General features: G+C 41.9%; 1 protein-coding gene and 1 pseudogene across 12 annotated transcripts in view, besides 3 other annotated features; one reads left to right on the top strand and one right to left on the bottom strand.

Moving 5' to 3' along the window:
- RAD51B (RAD51 paralog B) overlaps window positions 1-25,310 on the bottom strand; it is an 863,318-nt gene that overhangs the window by 322,534 nt on the left and 515,474 nt on the right. The window lies entirely within an intron of this gene.
- Window positions 1,091-1,140: a silencer, noted in NCBI's record as "silent region_5867". NCBI's record gives its function as "represses an Ori minimal core promoter by ATAC-STARR-seq in GM12878 lymphoblastoid cells {active_cell/tissue: GM12878}" and the evidence as "EXISTENCE:reporter gene assay evidence [ECO:0000049][PMID:35858748]".
- Window positions 16,548-17,232: an enhancer, noted in NCBI's record as "NANOG-H3K4me1 hESC enhancer chr14:68810048-68810732 (GRCh37/hg19 assembly coordinates)". NCBI's record gives its function as "activates a minimal SCP1, AML or CMV promoter by ChIP-STARR-seq in primed H9 embryonic stem cells {active_cell/tissue: H9 hESC(primed)}" and the evidence as "EXISTENCE:reporter gene assay evidence [ECO:0000049][PMID:30033119]".
- Window positions 18,681-18,740: an enhancer, noted in NCBI's record as "active region_8606". NCBI's record gives its function as "activates an Ori minimal core promoter by ATAC-STARR-seq in GM12878 lymphoblastoid cells {active_cell/tissue: GM12878}" and the evidence as "EXISTENCE:reporter gene assay evidence [ECO:0000049][PMID:35858748]".
- On the top strand, window positions 21,014-21,895 carry RPL7AP5 (ribosomal protein L7a pseudogene 5; annotated as a pseudogene).

The following is a 25,310-nucleotide window of genomic DNA, read 5'->3' as shown; positions in this document are numbered from 1 at the left end:
AGAGATGAGTATGAAAAAGACCTAGTACATGGCACATGCCCAGTAAGAGTCATTACTGCTGCTGCTGGTAACACGAAGACTACTGCTGCCACTACTGCCACAGGCATTGTGCTAGCCACCTAAGGTTGGGCCCTGATGTCATGGATGTCAGCCAATGAAAGGAAGAATTACAGAAATAACGATGATAAGATGTGCCTAGCAAGGAAGCTCAGTGCACTTAGGGTAGCCTTTTATGGCCAGGAGGACTTCAGCCAGGGAAGGGTGGGGAGAAGGCATTCCAGGAGAGGGAGCGGCATCTGCAAAGGCACAGAAGCTGCAGAGGCACGTGGTGGGCTCTGAGCTGGGAAGCAGCTCAGTCTAGGAGTACATCTGGGGAAGAGGGAGTGAAGAGGAACAAGAGAAGGCCCGGAAGAGTGGCTAGGCCACAGAATGGAGAACATGGTCTCCCCGCCTCTACCAGGAGTTCAGAAACAAATAAGACTAGACATAGTTTTAGGAGATTCTTCTTTTAACTGCCAAATATAACATTTTGATTATTTTAAGTGTTTGTTGTTCAAGACTTAAGGAGCCCAGCCCAGGCTGACAAGGCCGTTTCCCTGCACCCTGCAAACACTGAGAAAGGTTAAAAGCAAACAAGTGGAAAGTACCCAGACCAAAGGCAAAGTAGACAAATTTTTTTTCCTTTCTTTCTCCTTCTTTCAGTAAACGAAAAGACTAGTCTCTAAAGTCTCTATTTCAAACAAAAAGGACAGACAGTTCTGGCTTCTAAATCCTGGCAAAGAACCACCACCACTCTTTTTAGAGAGAGAAAAAACACTGCCCCCCTACAACACACAACTTTCAGCAACGTTTTTGCCAGCAGCATTCCAAATGATTCCTTTGAGGTAGCCAAGAGGAGCCCTCAAAAGGTGAAAGAACTCACAGCTCTGCCTGGCTTCTGAGAGAGGTAACGGCCATAGGAACTGTGGGCCCTGCTTAATGGCTGCTGATCTGGTCTGGCTGCCCAGTACCCACGCGCTGTGATTTCAGGCAGCAGCTGTTTGCGTTTCCCACTCACTACCTCGAAGCAAGAAGAGAAGGGACTCCCCCAACCCCAGTGATTGCCCCCGTTTTCATTCTCCCTCCTCCAACCCCAGTGATTACCATTCTCCTTTACCCAGCCCTCTTCCAAAACAAAACCAAAAAAATGCCCTACTTGCCCCTGAGCTAAAGGAATCCAATCACCCAGAAAGGGAGACTTTATGAGCTTTCTGGGGGCTCTGGGCGGATGGAAGGGATTAAAGCAAGGTGTGCTTTATGTCTTTTGTAGTTTACTCTCCTGCTGCCTTATGGAGTAGCCAATTCCCCACCCTCGGACAGGTCTGCTTGCTCCTCTTGGTGGGTTCTGTTTTTCTTTCCTCCCCCGTGGTTTTTCGTAAGGTCGTGGGAGGATGCAGTAAAACTCCATTTCAGATGCATCATAAAACTCAGAGAGGCTGGCCTATGGCACCTCCAAGCAGGTGGGGTGTGCTCCACTGTGGCAGCTGCTCCTCTGTGGGGTGGTATGAATTAGGAGAGGTTTCCAACAATTCTGTCATTCTGTGCTGGTACTGCAGCAGAGGGGCATGGCCCAGTCCCACCTTCTCTAGGATTACATGTCTCCAATAAGCATGGTGAATTTCTTCCTTTGTTAAGGATACTCAAACTCCATGATATAATCATAAAACAAGCTATTCTTAAAATATTTTTCAAATAATTTTTAATAATTTCTTTACCATCACACATTGTGTGATATAGGCTTTTATATCACACGATCTGACTGAAGAATAATTTACAGTCCAGATCCTACATTCCATGGACCAACCAGACCATAACCTTCCTAGAGTTTTTGGACAGGACCTATTCTGTTTCATAATAGGAGAAATACTATACAAGTGGGCAATAAACATACAAAAAGATGCTTCATCTCACTAGTAATCAAAGTAAAGCAAACATAAATGACAGTAAGATATTGTTTCACTCAAGAGACTCACAAAGATTGAGAAAAAAAATTAGCTGCAGTGTAGGCAATAGTGTGGGGGACCAATAATTCACAAACACTGCTGATGGTCATGCAAACTGATACATTCCTGACAGGTAGTTTTGCAATACATACAAAAACTGAAACATGCCTCGGACCCATCGATCATCAACATCACTTCAGGAGTACAGGCATGTCTAGCTTTATTGTGTGTTGCTGTATTGCACTTTGCAGATGCTATGTTTTTCTACAAATTGAACGTTTGTGGCAAGCGCGTTGACAAGTCTTTCAACACCCTTTTTCCAACAGCATGTGCTTGCTTCATGTCTGTGTCATGTTTTGGTCATTCTCGCACTATTTCAGACTTTTTCATTATAATTATATCTGTTATGGTGATCTATGATCAGTGATCTTTTATGTTACTCTTGTAATTGTTTTGGGCACCATCAACCACACCTCTGTAAGACAGCAAACTTAATAAATGTGTGTATTCTGACTTTCCAACAACCAGCCCTTCCCCATCTTTTCCTCTTCTCAGGCCTCTCTATTTCCTGAGACACGACAACATTGAAATTAGGCCAAGAACATTGAAATTAGGCCAATTAACCCTACAATGGCCTCTAAGTGTTCAAGTGAAAGGAAGAGTCACATATCTCTCACTTTAAAGCTAGAAATGATTAAGCTTAGTGAGGAAGGCATGTTGAAAATGGCTGTCTGTGCTCTAGAAATGGAACAACAAGGAATGGATGGCAGCACATCTGTTTGTAGCATGGTTTACTGAATATTTTAAGCCCACCATTGAGACTTACTGCTCAGAAAAAAAGAGATCTCTTTCAAAATAGTACTACTCACTGACAATGTAGCTGGTCACTGAAGAGCTCTGATGAAGATGTACAAGGTTAATGTTGTTTTCATGCCTGCTGCGGCCCATGGATCAAGGAGTAATTTTGACTTTTAAGACTTATTATTTAAGAAATACAATTTGTAAGGCTATAGCTGCCATAGATAGTGATTCCTCTTATGGATCTGGGCAAAGTAAGTTGAAAATCTTCTAGAAAGGATTCAGCATTCTAGATGCCATTCAGAAGATTCGTGATTCATAGGAGGAGGTCAAAATACCATCCTTAATAGGAGCTTGGAATAAGATTCTAACCTTCATGAATGACTTTGAGGGGTTCAAGACTTCATTGGAAGAAGTTACTGCAGATGTGGCGGAAATAGCAAGAGAATTAGAATTAGAAATGGAGCCCGAATATGTGACTGAATTGCTGCAATCTCATGACAAAACATGATGAGGAGTTGCTTCTTTTGGATAAGCAAAGAAAGTGGTCTCTTGAGATGGAATCTACTGGTGAGGATGCTATGAACAATGTTGAAATGACAACAAGGGATTTAGAATATCACAGAAACTTAGTTGACAAAGCAGTGGCAGGGTTTGAAAGGATTGACTCCAATTTTGAAAGAAGTTCTACCGTGGATAAAATGTTATCAAACAGCATGACATGCTACAGAGCAATCTTTCATAAGAGTCAATCCATAAGGCAAACTTCATTATTGTCATTTTTTTTTTTTTTTTTTTTTGAGACGGAGTCTCGCTCTGTCGCCCAGGCTGGAGTGCAGTGGCGGGATCTCGGCTCACTGCAAGCTCCGCCTCCCGGGTTCATGCCATTCTCCTGCCTCAGCCTCCCAAGTAGCTGGGACTACAGGCGCCCGCCACCGCGCCCGGCTAATTTTTTTTGTATTTTTAGTAGAGACGGGGTTTCACCGTTTTAGCCGGGATGGTCTCGATCTCCTGACCTCGTGATCCGCCCGCCTCGGCCTCCCAAAGTGCTGGGATTACAGGCGTGAGCCACCGCGCCCGGCCTATTGTCATTTTTTAAGAAATTGCTACAGCCACTCCAACCTTCAGCAACCACCCCCTGAACAGTCAGCAACCTTCAACACTAAGGCAAGACCCTTCACCAGCAAGATTATAACTCACTGAAGGCTCCGATGATCCCTAGCATTTTTTTTTTTAGCAATTAAGTATTTTAAATTTAGGTAATCTATATTGTTTTTAAAAAATATAATACTATTGCACTTTTAATAGAGTAGAGTGTAAACATAACTTTTTTTTTTTTTTTTTTTTTGAGACGGAGTCTCGCTCTGTCGCCCAGGTTGGGGTGCAGTGACACAACCTCGGCTCACTGCAAGCTCCGCCTCCTGGGTTCACGCCATTCTCCCGCCTCAGCCTCCGGAGTAGCTGGGACCACAGGCGCCCGCCACTGCACCCGGCTAATTTTTTTGTATTTATTTAGTAGAGACGGGGTTTCACCCTGTTAGCCAGGATAGTCTCGATCTCCTGACCTTGTGATCCGCCCACCTCGGCCTCCCAAAGTGCTGGGATTACAGGCGTGAGCCACCGCGCCCGGCCAACATAACTTTTATATGCACTGGGAAACCAAAAAATGTATTTCACTTTATTGCAATATTTACTTTATTGCAATGGTCTGGAACCATGTCTACAATATCCTCAAGATATGGCTATATAACCTGGGAGATAATTAGACAAATTTGGAAATCTGGATGTAAAAGAATGTTTACTGCAATTTTTAAATGATAGTAAGCAATATAAAAAAACCTAAATGAATAATAATTGGGAAATGCATAAATGGATAATAGCACAGCTGTTTAATGGAATATTATATACTGTCACTATAATTAATGGTGTCATTATTTATGGACATAGAGTTGTCCACAATGAGAAAGTACACTCTTGTTTTCTAACAATGGCACATGGAAGTATAATATGCACATTCTGAGAGTGATCTGGAGAGTTGCTCACCAAAATGTTATTTCTCTCAGCAGTAGGATTTAAATTGACTTTTCCATTTTTCCTTTGTACTTTTAGTCATTTTAAAACTAGAAAACAATAATAACAATAATTCTATTTTCACTTTGGTAGAAAAAAAAACCCAAACCACTGAACCAATCTCCAGCTGTGACCAGCAAGTCTCATGAATTTTATTCAGTCCGGTTCCAGGGAGGTATTTACCAGAATGACAACCATGGCCAACTGATATTAGAAAGAGTTTATTAATATCAGGAATAGATGGGCGAGATTAAATTGGAGAATCTAATAGACCCAAAACCCCAGTTCCACTTTACTTTCTGTTGTTTCCAAAATCAGAATGAAGCCAGTAACAAAATGAGGAGCTAAACGTTTTAGGCAAATCTTTTTGCATTCCAGGTAACATTAAGGTGAATTCTAAAATGCTCAATCTATTTTGAGGATATTGGAGCTAACCTACCACTCAATAAAATTTGTATTAATGTTTTCTTTATGAAACTCAAAGAGTTAACAAACAAATATGTCTCCAAAAAATAGGCAACATAAGAAATGGGACATAAAAAATACATCTGTACTAGTCCCACCAAAGCAAGAGTGCCATCTCTACAGTATGGGAGCTCCCATTGGGCGGCTGCCTATATCCCTCCAGTGACAAGATGGGGTTCTTTTTACTGTGCATCACGGTCCCCTCTACAGCCAGAGAGCTTACTCACTAGAGTTCTTCCTAAAAAGCCTGAAGGTACTCGGATAGTACCCTAATACTGGGATTATCTTCTCATTTCACAGAAAGGGAAATCGAGTCACAATGAGGCCAAGAGGCTTAAACTTGGCATTTCAGACCTCAGAGCTTGAAATGGGGCTCCCACGTCAAAATTCTGTCCTGAGTCCACTACTTCTTTTTGCTACTTGAATCATGAGCAAGCCGAGAGGCTAGCCCAGGGCTTCCCAAGGGTTACCTTTCCCACCTAAATGTATAAACTCTTTGGATTCTTAATAATTAAAAAAAAAAAATTAAAAAATAAATCTTTTGTAGAGACAGATTTTGCTTTGTTGCCCAGGCTGGTCTTGGACTCCCAGACTCAAGTGATCCTCCCAACTTCGTCTCCTAAAGTTCTGGGATTACAGGTGTGAGCCACCACACCTGGCCAATTCTTTTGATGTTTAAGCTTGTAAGCATGCAGAAGTGACAAACTTCATTTTACTCGTTTAAAACATTATTGGGGCCAGGCGCGGTGGCTCACGCCTGTAATCCCAACACTTTGGGAGGCTGAGGTGGGTAGATCACGAGGTCAAGGGATCGAGACCATCCTGGCTAACATGGTGAAACCTCGTCTCTACTAACAGTAAAAATTAGCTGGGCGTGGTGGTGTGTGCCTGTAGTCCCAGCTACTCTGGAGGCTGAGGCAGGAAAATCGCTTGAACCTGGGAGGTGAAGGTTGCCGTGAGCCGAAATCGTGCCCTTGCACTCCAGACTGGCAACAGAGCGAGACTCCATCTCAAAAAAAAAAAAAAAAAAACCAAAAAACCAAAAACCAAAAAACATTATTGGAAGACACAAAAGTTCTTATAATATACACACCACCTATATAGCACCACAAAGAACAGTGACCATATGACTATAGCTCCTTTTTCTAATGTTCTTTACTACTTTACAAGTAATCTCTTTGTCGAGAAAACATTGCTATCGTCAACAGTTCTAAAATGTCTTTGTTTCATGGAAGTGGTGATGAGAAAGGATCATATGCTTGCTTGCCTAACATCACAGGTGGAACGTATACATGTGACTTAGGCACAACCCCTAGAGACCCATGGGCTTGAGGGTACCCCACACAGTTCCACCACGTGGAAGGCCTGAACTGCTCAGAATACTTCTAATAGAAGCATAGTTATGTGGAGTGTGGAGGGGAAGGTCTTACTGAGCCCTTCACCCAAAGTGGCAACTTTTTAGAAAAATTCTAAACGAAACATTGACACTTCTGTCCTCCTTTCCCCCTGCTGCGACAGCCAGACAACAATGGCTCAGGCCCCAACCCCAACGCCCGGCTCTGTGCTATTATGACTCGGATGCACCTCTGCCTCCACGTTTTTATCCTCTCTGCTGTGGACCCCACAGTGCCTGCAAATGCACCTTCCTCAGCCCTGATTTTTCATCTCACCTTGCCAAAGTGCCAGTCTGAGTCTTCCAAGGTAGATCTGGTTACTGAGAAAGAGACAGGAGAAAAAATAGACACATTTCTGTGGCAATATTCTAGCCCTGATATTCCAGCACTTCCCACAAGTCCTCCTCTCTGTACCCCATCCCTCACCTACACACATAGAGGCCCAGTCCAGCTGTTGGGACAAAATACCAAAGAAATCACTCTGTGGCTCATATCCTCTCGCTAAAATGCAGATCGAGATTATTGTAGTCTTTTGTAAATCCACTATTACCCCCAATGCATTACTTTATTTTTCTTTATGGGGTTAAGTAGCATGACCATAATTCAGTGTCTAAACTTTTTAAAGGTGGTACTATTGGCAGTTGTGCCACGATGCCAGTTGCAAATCAGGACTGTCCTCAGGAATTGGGATATGTGTTCCTCCTGGGTGTGAGGAAAGCAACACAAAATAAGGAAAGGCTAGGGAAGAGGCCCAGAGGGGGCTGTTTTGCTTTCAACTTGCTTTCTGACATTGCTAATAATAAAAATCCTTAGAAACTTCCAATGAGCTGTGCGCTTGCTTCAGGACTGAAACATTGAGGAAAAGTTTTATGACTATACTCTATAGGCTAAACATGGGAGGAAAAATAGTACCAGCCTCACTTTTCCCATCAAAACCCTTCCCCCGACCGTGCCAGACCCCCACCTGCTGCAAGTAAAAGCAAAGGACACAGGCAGGCCAATTCTTGGGGTCCTCAGAAAAGATAAGAAGGGAATGAATGAATGAATTCAAGCACAGACTTAGAAGAACCTCAGGGAATTTATACTGGTAAGTGTCCCAGAAACCCCTGGAGCTCCCTCTCTGAAGCCATGAAGTCCTTGCCAGTGACAAACAAGTGGAAAGTCCTGTTTCTCAGTGCCTGGCAAGTGGGATGGGAGGATTCTGGGGAAGAGTCCAGGCCTATGCCCAGGCATCTGTGAGGAAATAGTTTGTAACACCTCAAGGTCCTATTGAACATAATGTCTCACAGAAAGGACCTTGGTTAATTAGGGTCTATGGTGGCATCTCCCTAGGAAAATAGGAGTTTCTTTTGGGAAGAGACTTCTACAATCCAAACAACCACCTTTTATGTGAACTCTTGGAATCCACCTATTGGTAAGGTGGAAGAGTTAGCAGACATGTTTCTATGTGGGCAAGGGGGTGGCCTGGTCACTTTCTAGGTTCCTGCTGGCTTTCAGAATGTGTCCATAGGAGGCATCAGACCTGGCCAGAGGAAAATCACTTTGTCCAGTCTCACAACTGATAAGTAATAGTTACAGAAATACAGCACCACAACGTTGTTTAAGCCCTCGTTACTCTGTGCTCTTTCCTCACCCAATACCATCTATTCATTAATTCTATCATTCATTCAACTTATATTTATTTATCCACTTTTATGGCTCAATTATCACCTATAAGGAGATGACTCAATTGTTTATCTCCAGCCCAGACCTCTTCAGTGAGCTCCAGTACACCTATATCTTCCTGGTATGTCTCCTTAGTATCTCAAAGGTGCATCAAACTCAGTGTTGCCAAGGCCAAGCTCATTATCAGCTCTTAAACATATTCCCTTCTTTTCATCCCCATCCTCATTACTCCAGTGCAAAGAAACCAGAATATCCCCCATGGACAATTGCATCTGCCTCCTGGCAGGGGTCCCTCTTCACCCATCTAATTCATTCTCTACACTGCAGCTAGTGGGATCTTTCCAACTAGCAAATCTCATTACCTTACCCCATCTTTTGCTAGAAACAGGTCAATAGCTTTTCTTTGCTCTTAGAATAAAGACCAAAAACCCCACTGTGTTCTGCTCCCTGACTGTGGTCTAATCCCGCACATTCCCTCACTCTTGCAGTCTCAGTGTCCACGCTGACTCCTCTCCATAGAGCGCTCTCCTCTAATCAATGCCTCCTCTCTCTTCAGGTGGCAGGACATCTCTCCAGTAAAGGCTTGTAAAGTATGTTCCACTCTCCTGTAATGTGCTCTCTTAGTCAATGTACCCCTCTCCTTTGAGGTAAGGGTCAGGGCTGTAATTTGTTATTTACTTTGGGCTTCTTTGATTCCTGGTTGTTCCTCCTCTAGACTGTAAGCTTTGTGTGGGCAGGAGCTGTGTCTGTTCGGTTTACCATAAACATTCATCAAATAATTATTGAATAAAGAATAAAGGGAAAAAAGGAAAGAGAGAGAGAGGAATTATTCCCATTCTCCCTCAACACTTTTGGTCTTTTCTACTTTTGGTACAAAAAGTAGTACTTTTCTACTTCTGGTCTTTAGTTCATGCTGTTCCCTTAGTCTAGCAGGTTCTTCTTTCTCCCACCAGTTGAAACCCTATTTCTTACTCAAAATGCCACTGTCCTATGTCTGCCCTTCATTTCTAGCATTCTTTGAGTCTGGTCTGGATTAGGGTGCTTTATGTATACAGTCACCTTTTGGGCAGGGTCTATGTCTTACTTGTCTCTGTATCCTACCACTGCCACTGTCCCCAACCTCAGGGCGTAGGGCAGTACCTTCTACAAGTTTATTGAAAAGAAGTGAATTCAGTGGAGCTACTGAAAATAAGGCCAGAGCCATGAAGAAAGGATTCCTTTCCCAGCTAGGGGATGCCATGTTGGATAGTCACACTATTGCCTGGTGCCATCCTATTTGTGATTTTACTTAAGTTGTACTGGTAGTTCTGCTACACTGGTTCACAAAAGAAGTCAAACAGATGTAATTTCTACCTTCCAGTATCCCACTATCTAAAATGGTGAATGATATTAAGCCAAACTGAAGGCAAATGTGTTCAGTGGATTTGATGAATAGAGGCAGAGGGAGTTAGATATCCTGGGGCAACCACCATCTCCCCTCCACTAAATCAGGAAAACTGTCTATCTTCACTTAATTCTATTTACTTAACACTAGCCTAAAGAAAACTTGTTTTCATTTATCCATCTGTCTCATTTTCAAATAAAATTTCTAAATGCAGACCACACACGATATTTCAGTGGACCTAACACTGATTTATGCTAAGACTCGGGGAAGGGAGGCACTCTGAAGAAAGATGCTTCACCAGCAATTTTCTGACTGTCAGCCTTTGCTCACTCTGCTATAGTAACATGCAGATGCAGTTTAGTGTCTCAATTACTTCTGGATTTGGTCCATTCAAGAGTCATATCATCGCTGCTATACCAAGTAAGCATGAAAGTCAAAACTGTGATTCCTGACAACCATGGTGATAGAATATAAATTAAAAGGCCCTTGCTTGCTTAGCCATCATTCTGAAAACATCAGAATGCAATTTGTTGGACAGATTCTATAATCTGCAGATGAAGGCAGTTATAGGGCTCAAGTTTATCCAGCGTTAACAAGCCCTAATAGTCTAGTTCAGCTCAGACATAACAAACGGAAATGGCTTTAAATTATCCTTCCCTAGAGACATGATTTCATAAGAGAACAAACTCTATATGTGCACAGAGAGATTTCCAATGTAAACATGTGGTGGAAGCTAAAAGCTGCAGCTGAGTTTCAAGCCTGGATATGCCAATGGCAGGGTATTTGATTTCAAAGACACCGATTTCCTCCCAGTGCGATAGCGTGTATGCTTTTTTTGCTGACTACACTTTGAACTGCAGAATACACACAAGCTTGCATCTATGTGTAATTTTATAGTTTTCTTTCTAGCTAGGATATTAATAGATTTTACTTAGCCTTTCCATGCATAAGTATGACTGGGATATAGATGCTTAAGGGATAAGGTTCCTCACAGAAAACACAAGGCTCCCTCATCACCTGGGCTGTCTGAAATGTAGACTAGCCTTTAAGGCTTTGGAAAACACAGGGTGAGCAACTTGGGTCTTCCATGTTCAAGCAGGATATCAACCAAGCTCCCCATGGATATAAAAAAGTAGGGAAGCCAGGCATGGTGGCTCATGCCTGTAATCCCAGCACTTTGGGAGGCCGAGGTGGGTGGATCACCTGAGGTCTGGAGTTCGAGACCAGCCTGGCCAACATGGTGAAAACCCATCTCTACTGAAAATACAGAAATTAGCTGGGCGTCGGGCACGAACCTGCAATCCCAGCTTCTAGAGAGGGTGAGGCAGAAGAATTGCTTGAACCTGGGAGGCGGAGGTTGCAGTGAGCCAAGATGGTGCCACTGCACTCCAGCCTGGGTGACAGAGTAAGACTCCATCCAAAAAAAATGAAAAAATAAAAAATAAAAAGTAGGGAAAGGAGAATTCCTTTGCCCTGTAAAGAGAACAGAACATTCTAGTTTGTTCCTTTTAGGCTAATCAGGTCTAAAAAGCCTAAGACCAAGATTTTACAATGACACTCAGCCAATGTCCATTTGGCCTATATGTCAAATGAGGTCCATCTCTTGTTTTTATATGGCCCATGAGCTCAGAATAGTTATTACAGTTTTAAATAGCTGAAAAAAAGACAAAAAAAATTTTGTGACATGTAGAAATTATATAAATTTCAAATTTCAGTGTTCATAAACAAAGTTTTATTGAACACAGCCATGCTCATTTGTCCAGGTATCATCTATGGTGACTTCACACTACAGTGGCAGAGCTGTTTAGCTGCAACAGAGATTATAGGACCTGCAAAACCTAAAATAAATAAAGGCCTAAAATATTCTGGCCCTTTACAGAAAAGGTTTGTTTATCCCAGATCTAAACTATGAGACAAAGTCAGTATCGCCCAGGCTGGAGTGCAGTGGCAGGATCTTGGCTCACTGAAAGCTCTGCCTCCCGGGTTCATGCCATTCTCCTGCCTCAGCCTCCTGAGCAGCTGGGACTACAGGCGCCCCCCACCATGCCTGGTTAATTTTTTTGTATTTTAGTAGAGACGGGGTTTCACCCTGTTAGCCAGGATGGTCTCAATCTCCTGACCTCATGATCCGCCCACCTCGGCCTCCCAAAGTGCTGGGATTACAGGCGTGAGCCACCGCGCCAGGCGAGACAAAGTCAATGTTAATCTTCAATTGCTTCTTTTGTTTTTAAACAAACATATGCATTATGCCTATGAGCTCCCAAGTGAGTTAAATATCCTTTGCATTTATACTAGAATCCATTTAGCCAATTTTATTTCAAACCATCAAGTCTTGCATAAACCATTTTAACCTGAGAGCACAAGGAAATCACAAGTAAGAAATCTTAATTTTTATTTAAAATTTCCTGAATTTGAAAATATCGTATGACTCCAGTCCAGAGGGCACCAGCTTGCAATATCTGATTTAGACCATGAATATACCATAGATTCTTCACTTTTTAGTCATTACAAACTGTTCTTGCTACCAAGGCAGGCCTAAGAAAATTGTTTGTGCTTTGCAAAGTATTTTAAATTTTTATATGATTTTAAAAAACTTAGTCTACATTTATCATCAAAGCTTGTCACAGAAGACATATTAGTTTCAGTGACATTAAAGCTTTAAACTGGTAAACTCTTTGAGGGAATGTCCTTTGCCCTTAATTTTTCTCATGCCCTCCCAGAGCATGGTCCATGCAATGGTCACTTGGTACCATTGGGTGCCAAGATAGGTACTTGCTGACCTTACCAGCACTTTTCATTTCTTGACTTCTCTCTTGCCCTGTTGATGTTCAGGGCCCACATGGAATATTCAGCAAATTCATTATTTCATCTCTGTCCTGGGGTAGTGTATCTACTCTCTTTTTAGTGTGCTCTAAGATTAGACTCTCTAACACTTTAAAGTCCTCTCTCAAACCACACAGATATATTCTGCCTTGGATTCCCAAGCAATCTTACTGTGTATGGGTGTTTTAATAAAGATCAAAAGTGACCAGCAGCTCTCTGCACTCTAAGAGGAACAAAGACTGCTAGTATTAGTAGCTGAAACTGCTGATGCTGTTCACGGGCCTGTTTCTTTATTTATTATTATTATTTTGAGACAGGGTCTCGCTCTGTCATCCAGGCTGGCGTGCAGTGGCACAATCATGGCTCACTACAGCCTTGACCTCCCAGGCTCAAGCAATCCTCCTGCTTCAGCCAATTTGGGAGGCACACGCCACCATGCCTGGCTAATATATATGGTTTTTCATACGGAATGGGTCCCTACTACGTCGCTCAGGCTGGTCTCAAACTCCTGGGCTTAAGCGATCCTTCTGCCTTGGCCTCCCAATATGTTGGGATTATAAGCATGAGCTATCGTACCCAGCCACCTACTTCTTAAAGTCAAATCTTTGCAGTACAGGGGACCCCCAATCATTTTGTGGATACTAAATCTACTTCCCCAAACTGATAGGAAGTAAAGGAATGCAGCTAACAAAAACTCTGAAACTGTTACTCTTTCATGCATAGGTAAATATGCATTTAGTCAATAAACATTTATGAAATACTGCTAAAGTGTCAGGAATGATGCTAGATATTAGAGACAGCAGAAGGAGCATAACTTGGACTTTGTCCCTAAGATCTTTCAGTCTAGCGAAAGCAAACAGTGTTGCAGACAATTCATGAAAAAAAAAATGTGTTGAGGATTATAGACATGGAAGGGAAGAAGAGGAAGAAGATGCTTCATTCTTCCTAAGGGTGAAGTGTGAAAAAGGCTTCAGAGAGGTGGTGGCACTTCGATTGAGTCTTAAAAGCTGAGCCAGCCTTGGGGGGTAGAGGGAAGGCAAGAGGGGAAGGGATAAATTATAGGCAGAGGAGCAGCAAAAGGGACCCAAAAATGTAAACTATCCTAGACCATAAGAAGTACTCTGAGAAATTCACAATGGTTCTAGTGTATGTGTTTACTGGGAGGAGGGGTGATGGAGAAATGAGGCCGAGAGAGAAACCATTCAGAGATATACGGCTGGAGAACTGAGCAGCTGCCAGACCTTGAGGTCCCTGTATGTATGCTAGGGAGTCTGGAATAAATCCCAGAGACAGTGAAAAAGACATTGAGGGATTTCAAGTACAAGAGTAACACAATCACATTGTTCTGCTAGAAAGAACACTTTGGACATGCTACAGAAGAGGGACTGAAGGGCTACAGAGTGCGACTGCTGGATTAGTTCAGGCAGCAGAAATCCAAGGTGTGAATTTAGACCCTGGATGTAGAGCTGAACATGAAATCGAGGAAGAAATCTTGATGATCGAGTGGTTGTTTGGGGGAAGGGGCAACAGAATAGAGAGGAAGTTGATTCCCAGGTTGTTGTTTAGTGGCTGGGTAACTAGCGAAGCTATTCACCATGCAAAGAAATAGAAGAGGAGGAATGGGATCTTTTTTGCTTAAAAACAACAGTAACAGAAAGAAATCAGTGCCTTCCTGATTATATTCTAGGCTAGGAAATCATATCAAATGAAGTTGCGCTTCAGGCAGTCTTAGAAAATTCTTTTTCTGTCCTTGTGGCTTTTGAATGTCATGGGTTAGATTACCATGTCAAAGATGAAACCACTTTAAATCTGTTTTGGAAAAAGATGGGATATAAATATGTAATATAAAAAACATCAAGATATTTATATTTTAATCTATTCTCTGCATGCATTCAAAAACAAATATAGGATCTTTCTGAAATTCTTCTGTGAGGTTTGAGGGAACTATTAAATTATACACCTTTTCCACAACTGCATTCTGAACCCATTTGTGTTAGTCTGTTCTTGCATCACTATAAACAAATAACTGCCCAGGCACAGTGGCTCACGCCTCATGCACTTTTGGAGGCCAAGGTGGGTGAATCACTTGAGGTCAGGAGTTCGAGGCCAGCCTGGCCAACATGGTGAAACCCCATCTCCACTAAAATACAAAAATTAGCTGGGCGTGGTAGCACACTCCTGTAATCCCAGCTCCTTGGGTGGCTGAAGCATGAGAGTCGCTCTTGAACCCAGGAGGTGGAGGTTGCAGTGAGCTGAGATCATGCCTCCAGGCACTCCAGCCTGGGCAACAGAGCAATACTCTGTCTCAAAAAAAAAAAAAAAGAAAGAAACACCTGACGCTGAGCTTAATTGGCTCACAGCTCTGCAGGCTCTACAGAAATCATGGTGCTGGCATCTGCTCAGCTTCTGGTAAGGCCTCAGGAAGCTTATAGTCATGGTGGCAGGTGAAGGGAAGCTAGCATGTCACAAGTTGAGAGTAGGAACAAGAGTGGGGGGAGGTGCCACACTCTTTAAATAACCACATTTCATGTTAACCACCAGAGCAAGAACTCATTCATCACCAAATGGATGGACTAAGCCATTCATGAAGGATCTGCCCCCATAATCAGAACACCTTCCACCAAGCCCCACCTCCAACACTGGGGATTTTAACATGAGATTTGGAGGGGACAAATATCTAAACTATATCATTATGCCTCTAGCTCCCCAAATCTCATGTCCTTCTCACATTGCAAAATATAATCATCCTTTCTCAATAGTTCTCCCAAGTCTTAATTTGTTCCAATTCCAACTCAATCAAAAGTCCCAAGTCTGAAGTCCAAAGTTTCATCTGGAGATGAGTTCCTTCCACCTATGAGCCTGTAAGATCAAAAACAAGTTATTTATTTCCGAGATACAATGGTAATATGGGCATTGGGTAAATATTCCCATTCCAAAGGGAAAAACTGGCCAAAAGAAAGGGGCTACAGTTCCCATGCAGGTCTGAAACCCAGAAGGGCAGTCATTAAATGTTGTTTTTTTTTTTTTTTTTTTTTGAGATTGAGTCTTACACTGTTGCCCAGGCTGGAGTGCAGTGGCATGATCTCGGCTCACTGCAAGCTCCGCCTCCTGGGTTCACGCCATTCTCCTGCCTCAGCCTCCCGAGTAGCTGGGACTACAGGCACCCGCCACCATGCCTGGCTAGTTTTTTGTATTTTTAGTAGAGACTGGGTTTCATCATGTTGGCCAGACTGGTCTCGAACTCCTGACCTCGTGATCTGCCTGCCTTGGCCTCCTAAAGTGCTGGGATTACAGGCGTGAGCCACCGCACCCAGGCTATTTATTTATTTATTTTTGAGACGGAGTCTCGCTCTGTCGCCCAGGCTGGAGTGCAGTGGCGTGATCTTTGCTCACTGCAAGCTCCGCCTCCCAGGTTCACGCCATTCTCCTGCCTCAGCTTCCCGAGTAGCTGGGACTACAGGCGCCCACCACCACGCCGTGCTAATTTTTTGTACTTTTAGTAGAGACGGGGTTTCACTGTGTTAGCCAGGATGGTCTTGATCTCCTGACCTCGTGATCCACCCACCTCAGCCTCCCAAAGTGCTGGGATTACAGGCGTGAGCCACTACGCTCGGCGGCAGTCATTAAATCTTAAAGCTCCAAAATAATCATCTTTGACTCCATGTCCCACATCCAGGGCACACTGGTGCATGGGCAGCGCTGTCCCTGTGGCTTTGCAGGATGCAGACCCCATGACTGCTCTCATGGGTTGGAGTTGAGTGTCTGCAGCTTTTCCAAGCTCAGGATACAAGCTGCCCATGGCTCTACCATTCTGGGACGTGGCGGGTGGTGGCCCTCTTCCCATCACTCCACAAGGCAGTGCCCTGGTGAGGACTCTATGTGGGGGGCTTCAACTCCACATTTCCTCTCCACACTGCTCTAGTAGAGGTTCTCTGTAAGGGCTCCACCTCTGCAGCAGGCTACTGCCTGGGCACCCAGGATTTCCAATACATCCTCTGAAATCTAGGGGAATCTGCGAAGTTTCCTTCACTTTTGCACTCTGTGCACCTGCAGACTTAATACCACATGAAAGCCACTAAAGCTTACAGCTTGTGCCCTCCAGAGCCAGCAGCCCAAGCTGTACTTGGGGCCCTTTGAGCTGGAGCTGGAGATGGAGCTGAAGCAGCCCACATGCAGACAGCAGTGTCTCAAGCCTGAGCAGGGCAATGGCCCAGGCCTGGTCCCTGAAACCATTATTTCCTCATAATGCTCTGGGTCTGATAGCAGAGTCTGTCTCCAAGATCTCTGATATGCCTTTTCCCCATTGTCTTGGAAATTAGCACTTGGCTCCCTTTTAGTCACGCTAATCTTTCTAAGCAAGTGGTTGTTCCTCAGCCTGCTTGTATTCCTCTCCTAAAAATGCTTTTTATTTCTCTGGCCACATAGCCAGGCTGCAAATTATCCAAAATTTTACACTCTGCTTCCCTTTTAAATGTAAGTTCCAACTTTAAATCATTTCTTTGCTCATATATCTGATTGTAGGCTGTCAAAAGAGATAGGGGGAAAATTACACAACATTATTCTGGGCAATGATATTTTAGACCTGACCCTAAAAGTTCATGCAACAAAAGCAAAAATAGAAAAATGGGATTATATCAAAATAAAAAGCCCCTGTACCGCAAGGAAAACAACTGCATGAAGCGACAACCTTTGGATTGAGAGAAAATATTTTCAAGGCATACATCTGATTAGGGTTTAATATCCAAAATATATAAGGAGCTCAAATTGTGTGGCGAGTATAGTGAATAATTATGTACTGTACATTTGAAAATTGTTAAGAGAGTAAATTTCAAATGTGCTTACCACAAAACTGGTAAGTATTTGGAGCGATGGATATCTTAATTAGTTTTATTTAATTATCCCATATTATATTTATTAATTATAACATTACATTGTGCCCATAAATACATACAACTGTATTTGTCAATTTTAAATTTAAAAATAAGCAAAAAAAAAAAGGCAGCAGAAATGGAGACCAAGGGCTACATATACTTTAAAGATAAGGAGCAGGTAACTCCAGGATTTGTTGCCTGAGTGGATTTGGGACCAACATCCAGAGGACAACAAAGACAGAAAACTCTGGGTACTCATTGGTATTCACCTAAAACTGAAAATTTCAAAAAAGTCTACAATTAGGTCAAACGTGGACATGTATGAATTTACAAGATGTAGAGGCCACAAGTACCAACAGTTACCAAATGATCTGCTCCCCAAGTGTCCTTCCACATGGTGACAAGGATAAACCTTTCTGCGCCTTTCTACTTGCTTTCACTTGATGGGCTTCACTTTATGGTAAGGAAATCTTTTGCTCATTAACTCCAAAGCTAAACTCTTCATTAGAAAGAGAGAGACAGAGAGAGAGAGGGAGAGAGAGAGAAAGAGAGAGAGAGAAGGCATGGGTACATAGCAACAGTGAGCTTCCCCAAAACTGGGTTAGGCAGGGCCCCCTGTCCCGTCCCTCTATGGCTGGTGGAGGACAATATCTGAATGTGCGAAGTGCTTCCTTATCTCAGACTCACCAGTTAGATAAGCCATTCCACTTTCCCTAAGGAGGAACAGTGAAGAAGCAGAAAGGCCAAGAGTGACTTAGGGAAAATCCTTCCTCCTAGAGAACAAAGACTTTCCCCCTGAAGCCCTTGACTAGTAAATTTTTTTTCTTTCCTAATATAAGCAGTAGATAGGATAGAATTTAATTCCACTCAGTAAGCATCAAGTGGCTTCTGTGTTCCAAGGATTGGACTAGGCACTGGAAATAAAGAGATAAAAGACAAAGTTCTGTCTTCAAGTGTTCACATCCTATTTCTGTAAGATAGGCCTCTAGAAGGAAGATAAACATGTGATAGAGTCAAGGGGTAAGCAAATTATATGGGGAGCAAACAGGAAGTACTAATTAGTTGTAACCTAGGGAATTAGAGTGAATATGAAAAAAGCATCTGGATTTTTTTTTTCTTACACTATACACAATATGTCAAGCCATCATTTCCTTTCCATTAGTGAAAGATTTTTGTTTGCCACAGGATGTGAAAGTGCACTATATGCAGTTGTGTGATATATTGGTGGACATATATTCTTTCCACCCCTTTTCTAATAACTGAAACCTTCCTTTCCTTTGGAGAACTGCTCCACCCCTACCTCTGGGGCCCTGTCTTCCTGCCACTGGGGTAGACAAAAGATCTAATGGGCCAATAGGACTCTTTTTGAACGTACTGACAAAGTTGGAGAGAAAAAAGACCTTATGCCTTATGAGATCCTAAGTGATACAGACCAGAGACTGCTGCATTGCTCCTCCCATATGGCAAAACCTGCTGCGAATGAAACCAACAGGAGGAAAGCAGAGCAGAGAGATGGAATTACAGCAGAAACGATGATGACATTGTTGGAAACCCATTAGATCCACTTCTTAGCCTTCGCAATTACATTAGCCAATAAATTCCACTGGATCTGTCACTTGTATTTATCATAAACTTAGAAATCACTTTATTAATAAAACATTACTTATAAATTGCTTCTACCATGTCTTTGACCTAAGAAAATAAGGTTCAGACTTCCACAAAACTTTATGAAAACCCTGACCACTTTAGTGCTGTAATAGATGTTCTAGGAATTGCCAATGATTCCATAAATGACACAGTGTCATTTAATGATGAAGCTACTCTGATACAGTATCAGATCAACTAATTTTTCCTATAATATACTTGCATATAACTCAACCCTTCATATTTCTATGATGTATTTTATTCATCATGCATTTTTTGCATTACACATTACTGAAATACAGTTACCTTGATTCTTGTTCTTTAAAGAGATTAAATTCATTTTCAGTTCTAATTTAGTCATTAACATTGTGCTTTGCCTTAACATTCTCTCTGCCCAGCTCATCTTAGTGGCATCTTCAAGGTAAAATCACCTTTGATATGTGAAAATTCTTGCTTCTCACCTTCCCTGAAGGGGAAAATATCAGCAAAATTATAATTTGAAATTGTAATGAACTCTATTTCCCTGCTTCTTAACCTATAAGGATGAAATGGGACAAGTGAAAACATCTAGAGATCTCTGAGTGCCAAAGGCAGACTGTTCTCCATTGCTTTCATATTTTACTTCCCTAACCAGATTTCAATGTCCTAGAGAGCCAAGCGTCATGGATGTCTTGGGATATCCCAAATATGCAAGATGGTATAGGAGCCTAGGGAAAACCTCCCCTTCAACCTCTGAGTGTTTACTGAAAATCAACTGACAAAAGGCAGGTTAATAGGAAAAAAGGCATACAAAAATAGTAATATGCACGCATGTGCACAGGAGTTATAAAAAATAAGAAAAACTCAAAGAAAGGGTCAGATAGTTGAAGTTTTCATCCTGAGGTTACAGAAGGAATAGAGGCTTAGAGTCTGGCAAGACCAGTTATGGGTGGAAGAGAAGAAAAGCATGGCTAGCAAAGGCAGTCTTGTAATGCAGATGAAACCTCACAGGTAGCAGCCCTCCAAAAGAGTAAGTTTCTATTAGATCCCCAGAGGTGTCAAACTCTCAGTCTCTCTCTCCCAGGAGCCCATCTGTCCTAGATCCAGACAAGTCACAGCACAGAAAGGCTGGCTGTTTATTTCAGCAATGTAGATTTTCTCTACAGATGTAAATCTCCCCCACAAAAGGTAGTTTTACAGGGCTATTCCTGTCTGCAGGTTCTCTGAATAGCCATCTCAAATATGTCAAAGAAGTATATTTGAGGGTGAAGTATTTTGGTTTCCTTTAATGGTAAAAAAAGGAAGAAGGAAAGATGTATTTACTTTCCTTGGTAACTCATTGTATCGGTCCAAAGACACCTTGAAGTTATTTCTGATAAATATTTCTAAGTAAACACTATTAGTAAAATACTATTGAATACTAACCATGTGCCAGGCACTATGTTACATTCCTCCTAAAAACATTTCTTCTTTTTTTAACCCTTGTGTAGACAAAGAAAAAGTAGCAGCCTTCTCTCTAAAAGATCATTATATGGTCACATCTCAGCACTGCCTATGATTAAACTACCTCAATTTCTTTAAACATTCTTTATTGTGATGATTAAAATTATATACATTGTAGAAAATGACTGTGCTATTAGATTGCTATCTTACTGTACTACTTTTCAACTTTTACTACTTAGGAGAGGCAGATTTCCCAATTCTCTAATTTTCTCAACATTTAGACTGATCCCTATTTATAAGAGGAAGAACTAGGCTTAGAGAGAGAACAGTACATTCAATGTTCATCTTAGTGGCATCTGTAACGTTAAATCACCCCTGATATATGAAAATTGTTGCTTTTCACCTTCTTTAAAGGCGAAAATATCATCAATAAAACTGAAATTAGAAACAAAGTTATTTGGTATAATGCTAGATGAAAAATATGGCAACCATAAGTCTCTCCTCCCGCCACCCAAGATGCTGAAAGGAAAGAAAGCCAAGGAGAAAAAATGGCTCCAGCTCCTGCTGTCATAAAGAAGCAGGAGGCCAAGGAAGTGGTGAATCCCCTGTTTGAGAAAAGGCTTAAGAATTTTGGCATTGGACAGGATATCCAGCCCCAAAGAGACCTCACCCGCTTTGTGAAATGGCCCCACTATATCAGGTTGCAGCGGCAGAGAGCCATCCTCTGTAAGTGGATGTAAGTGCCTCCTGCCATTAACCAGTTCACCCAGGCCCTGGACCACCAAACAGCTACTCAGCTGCTTAAGCTGGCCCACAAGTACAGGCCAGAGACAAAGCAAGAGAAGAAGCAGAGGCTGTTGGCCCAGGCCAAGAAGAAAGCTACCAGCAAAGGGGACATCCCCACTAAGAGACCACCTGTCCTTCGAGCAGGAGTTAACATGGTCACCACCTTGGTGGAGAACAAGAAAGCTCAGCTGGTGATGACTGCACACGATGTCGATCCCATCGAGCTGGCTGTCTTCTGCCTGCCTGCCCCATGTTGTAAAAAGGGGGTCCCTTACTGCATTATCAAGGGGAAGGCAAGACTGGGACATCTAGTCCACAGGAAGACCTGCACCACTGTTGTCTTCACAAAGGTTAACTCGGAAGACAAAGGAGCTTTGGCTAAGCTGGTGGAAGCTATCAGGACCAACTACGACAGATACGATGAGATCCACTGTCACTGGGGAGGCAATGTCCTGGGTCTCAAGTCTGTAGCTCACATTATCAAGCTCGAAAAGGCAAAGGTTAAAGAACTTTGCCACTGAACTGGGTTAAATGTACACTGTTGAGTTTTCTGTCCATAAAAATAATTAAAATAATACAAAATTTCCTTCAAAAAAGAAAAAAAATATGGCAAGCATAAAGATACACTTTGAGATAGCTAAATAGCCTCCAAACTTAACCTACACATGGGTGGGCCCTTGGCAGCCATGTTTAAGCCATGTTGTCTGGTTGGATTAAGGGCAGACATATCACCTGTGCCAGACTGATCAGATCCTCTCTCAGGAATTTAGATTCATTGATGCTAGTCTCCCTGGGCTGGGAAGTCGAACTAAGGACGTACAAATGTGGGTAATGAGGATGCACCATGTTTGGCCATGTGCTCAGCAGCAGCGAAAGTGGCTAGCTGAGAAAGAGAAAAGAAAGAAAGCAGATGTACAGAGAGAAGCAGAGATCTGAATCCACAAGCCCCTGAAGGGAGCCAGGCAGACAGAGAGCTACACCTGGGCAACAGGGACTAGTTGCCTGGGTCCTTGTAAATGCTCCTGTTCCAGGCTCTGGTCTCTTATGAAGTCCAGTTGTATTTCATGCTGTTGGGTTATGTGAGAGTCTCGTGATTCCTTATGACAAATTGTTTTGTTGCTGTTAAGATAGTTTGGGTTTCAGTTATTTACAAATAAAAGATTTTTGGGCCTGGCACGGTGGCTCATGACTATAATCCCAGCACTTTCGGAGTGTGAGGCAGGAGGATTGCTTGAACCCAGGAGTTCAAGACCAGCCTGGGCAATATAGTGAGACCCCATCTCTTAAAACAAAACAAAACAAAACACAAAAACTAAAAAATTTGCTGAGTGTGGTGGCACAGGCCTGTAGTCCCAGCTACTAAGGAGGCTGAGGTGGGAGGATTGCCTGAGCCAAGGAGGTCGAGGCTGCAGTGAGCTGTGATCATGTCACTGCACTCCAGCCTGGGGGACAGAGTGAGATCCTGTCAAACAAAACAAAACAAAACAAATAAAAATTTCTAACCTAGGCAATAAGCAAGTGGTTCTTAATTCAGGTTGAGCATCAGAATGTCCTGAAGAGGTTTTAAAAACTCAAATACCCCTGCTCTGTCCCCAGGGATTCTGATTCAGCTGGTCTGGGATATAGCCTAGGCAAGGGAAAATTTTAAAAACCTCCACCTGAGAATTATGGCCCATGGAATGGCAATAGGTAGACAGCAGAAAGCTAGACAGCAAAGGAAAAAGGACATTTCAGATCAAAATAACCATGCCAATAGGGAAGAAAGAACCACAGGATGCAAGAGTACAGCCACTTCCACAAAGCTGCATGCTACAATGGCTAATTTTAGCATCTACTTTCACACAGAAAAACTGTGGTCAACTTTAGACATCTGTCCTGAAAAGAGATTTAAGGTTCTGAGGGGGTATTTCAGGTTTAATTCATGTATCAATAAACTATCCACTGCAGCTTTAAATCTGAATCATTTTGGTACCTGAAAGCATCAAATCTTTTAAAAATTATTTAGCTGGACAATTACAGGTTGCGATGGGCTAGGATAGGCACCAACAAAAATAAGATGTGGGTGTGTGCAAAAGAGGCAATTATGTGGGAATTTGGTACACAGAAATTCTCCCCTCCACAGGAAGAAATTGAGTCCAAAAGTTGATTATATTCATCTGACAGCAAGATTAACACTCAAATTATGGAATAAATTAGTAAGTAAACTACAAATGAAATCACCCTCTTACTAGTTTGACAAAGGAATTCATCTCAGTTAGAACATGGAACTTTTCTGAGGTAGATGAGAAAAATTACTGTAATGTTTGTTAAAAACATTTTTAAACAACCATAAAAAGGAAATGTAGAGTATTCTACCTTATATAAATGCATCTTTTAAGAACTACATTATTTGGTTAAAAGCACTGGGGACAAACAAAGAAATGGTTAGCTGTCTTTCAAACCCTGGGAATGAATTCTCCACCATTGAATGGGTTGGTGTCTAAAAGCCACATCAGGATTATAGCATTAGTTTCAAGAAACTGATACAAAGAAAGAAAATCTGATTTGGGTCCTAGAAACCTACACTGTTTAATAGATGCATTGGTGGCAAGTAGAATTCTATCATCATTTTATATTAAGGTTCAAAGCACTTTTGTCAAAATGTAGGAATTTGGAGTGTAATTTGTTTAAAAACTTGAAGAATTTGCTTGTAATTGATCAGAGCGCATCAAAATAGCAATCTATGTATTGGACAGTAACACCCCCAGGGACTCAGTCCTTTATTTCTTTTGTCAACTAGATTGCTTCACATCTCCCATGGGTAGCCCCCATGTATACCAATAGGGATGAATAAGTGTTGAGTGAAATATAATGAAAAGGAAATATAATCATTACCACAGATGTATGACATCATTCTAGGAAAGTAAATGATCTTACCTTTTTGAATTCTGCTTTCTTTATTGTAAAACCAAGACTCATCCAAGTTAAATACAAAGGAAGATAGGACAGTTTTGAGAGATAAGTGGTTTAAAGCAAAAGATGGCAGAACCATAATTAAACATTCAGTTTCCTTAATAGCTTGTTCTCCAAATGAAATAATAATAGCTAACATTTGTTGAATACATTATATATCAGACATCATTCTCACATATTATTAACTCTTTTAACTCTCCGAATAACCTCTGAAATAGGTACTATTATTATTGTTACTTTTACAATTAAAGAAACTGTGGCACAGACAGGTTAAGTAACTTATCCAAGATAAAACAGCTGGAAGTGGCAGAGCCAAGATATACACCAATGCAAGTATGGCTTCTGATAAACCTTCTCTCAGCCTTTATGCTATACTGCTTCTTGAATGTAGTGACCACAGAGACTTTTAACCTCTCCTTCTAGTCCCTTAAAGTATTGCTAACCTAATGGCTATTTCCAAAATACCAAACCCATGGTGGGTGCCTGATTGTCCATGGGGAAGGCTCTGTAGAACTTTCTGCTCTTGTTACTAGAAAATCAGTAGTTACAGATTCTAACTCTACCTTTAATTAGCCAGGTGCATCTGAACAAGGCTCTCAAGACCACAATTTCTTCATTTAAATAAATAAATTCTATTAGATGATCCCTGAAGCTATTTTCCAACTCTCTGAAATGCTATGAAAAACAGTAAAAGATTCCAAGCCTCTTCTACCACTCCCCACATTGTCAGACCTTATCAGCACTGCCTTCACCAAGCTTAAAACCAGATCCAGGAAGGTGAGCTGGTTGCAGTGAAACCTGTTAGTATCATAGAGGAAAGACTGTTTAGGGACTGCAAAGATGCAAATCAGAAAATTACTAAGAGACTAAAGTATGCTGATTGTACTAATCAACTGAAAGAGTGGCTATCTGCTTTTTTAATTTTGAGAAAAATGTAAATGCAGAAAAGTACAGAGAAAAATATAACATATTTTCTGTTTCTTTTTTCTTTTCTTTTTTTTTTTTTTTTTGACACAGGGTCTCACTCTGTCACCCAGGCTGGAGTGCAGTGGTG

The sequence above is a fragment of the Homo sapiens genome, chromosome 14 (genome assembly GCF_000001405.40).
Source record: "Homo sapiens chromosome 14, GRCh38.p14 Primary Assembly".
Lineage (NCBI taxonomy): Eukaryota > Metazoa > Chordata > Mammalia > Primates > Hominidae > Homo > Homo sapiens.
The sequence above is the reverse complement of the archived record's forward strand: the minus strand, read 5'-3'. Positions and strand labels throughout refer to the sequence as shown.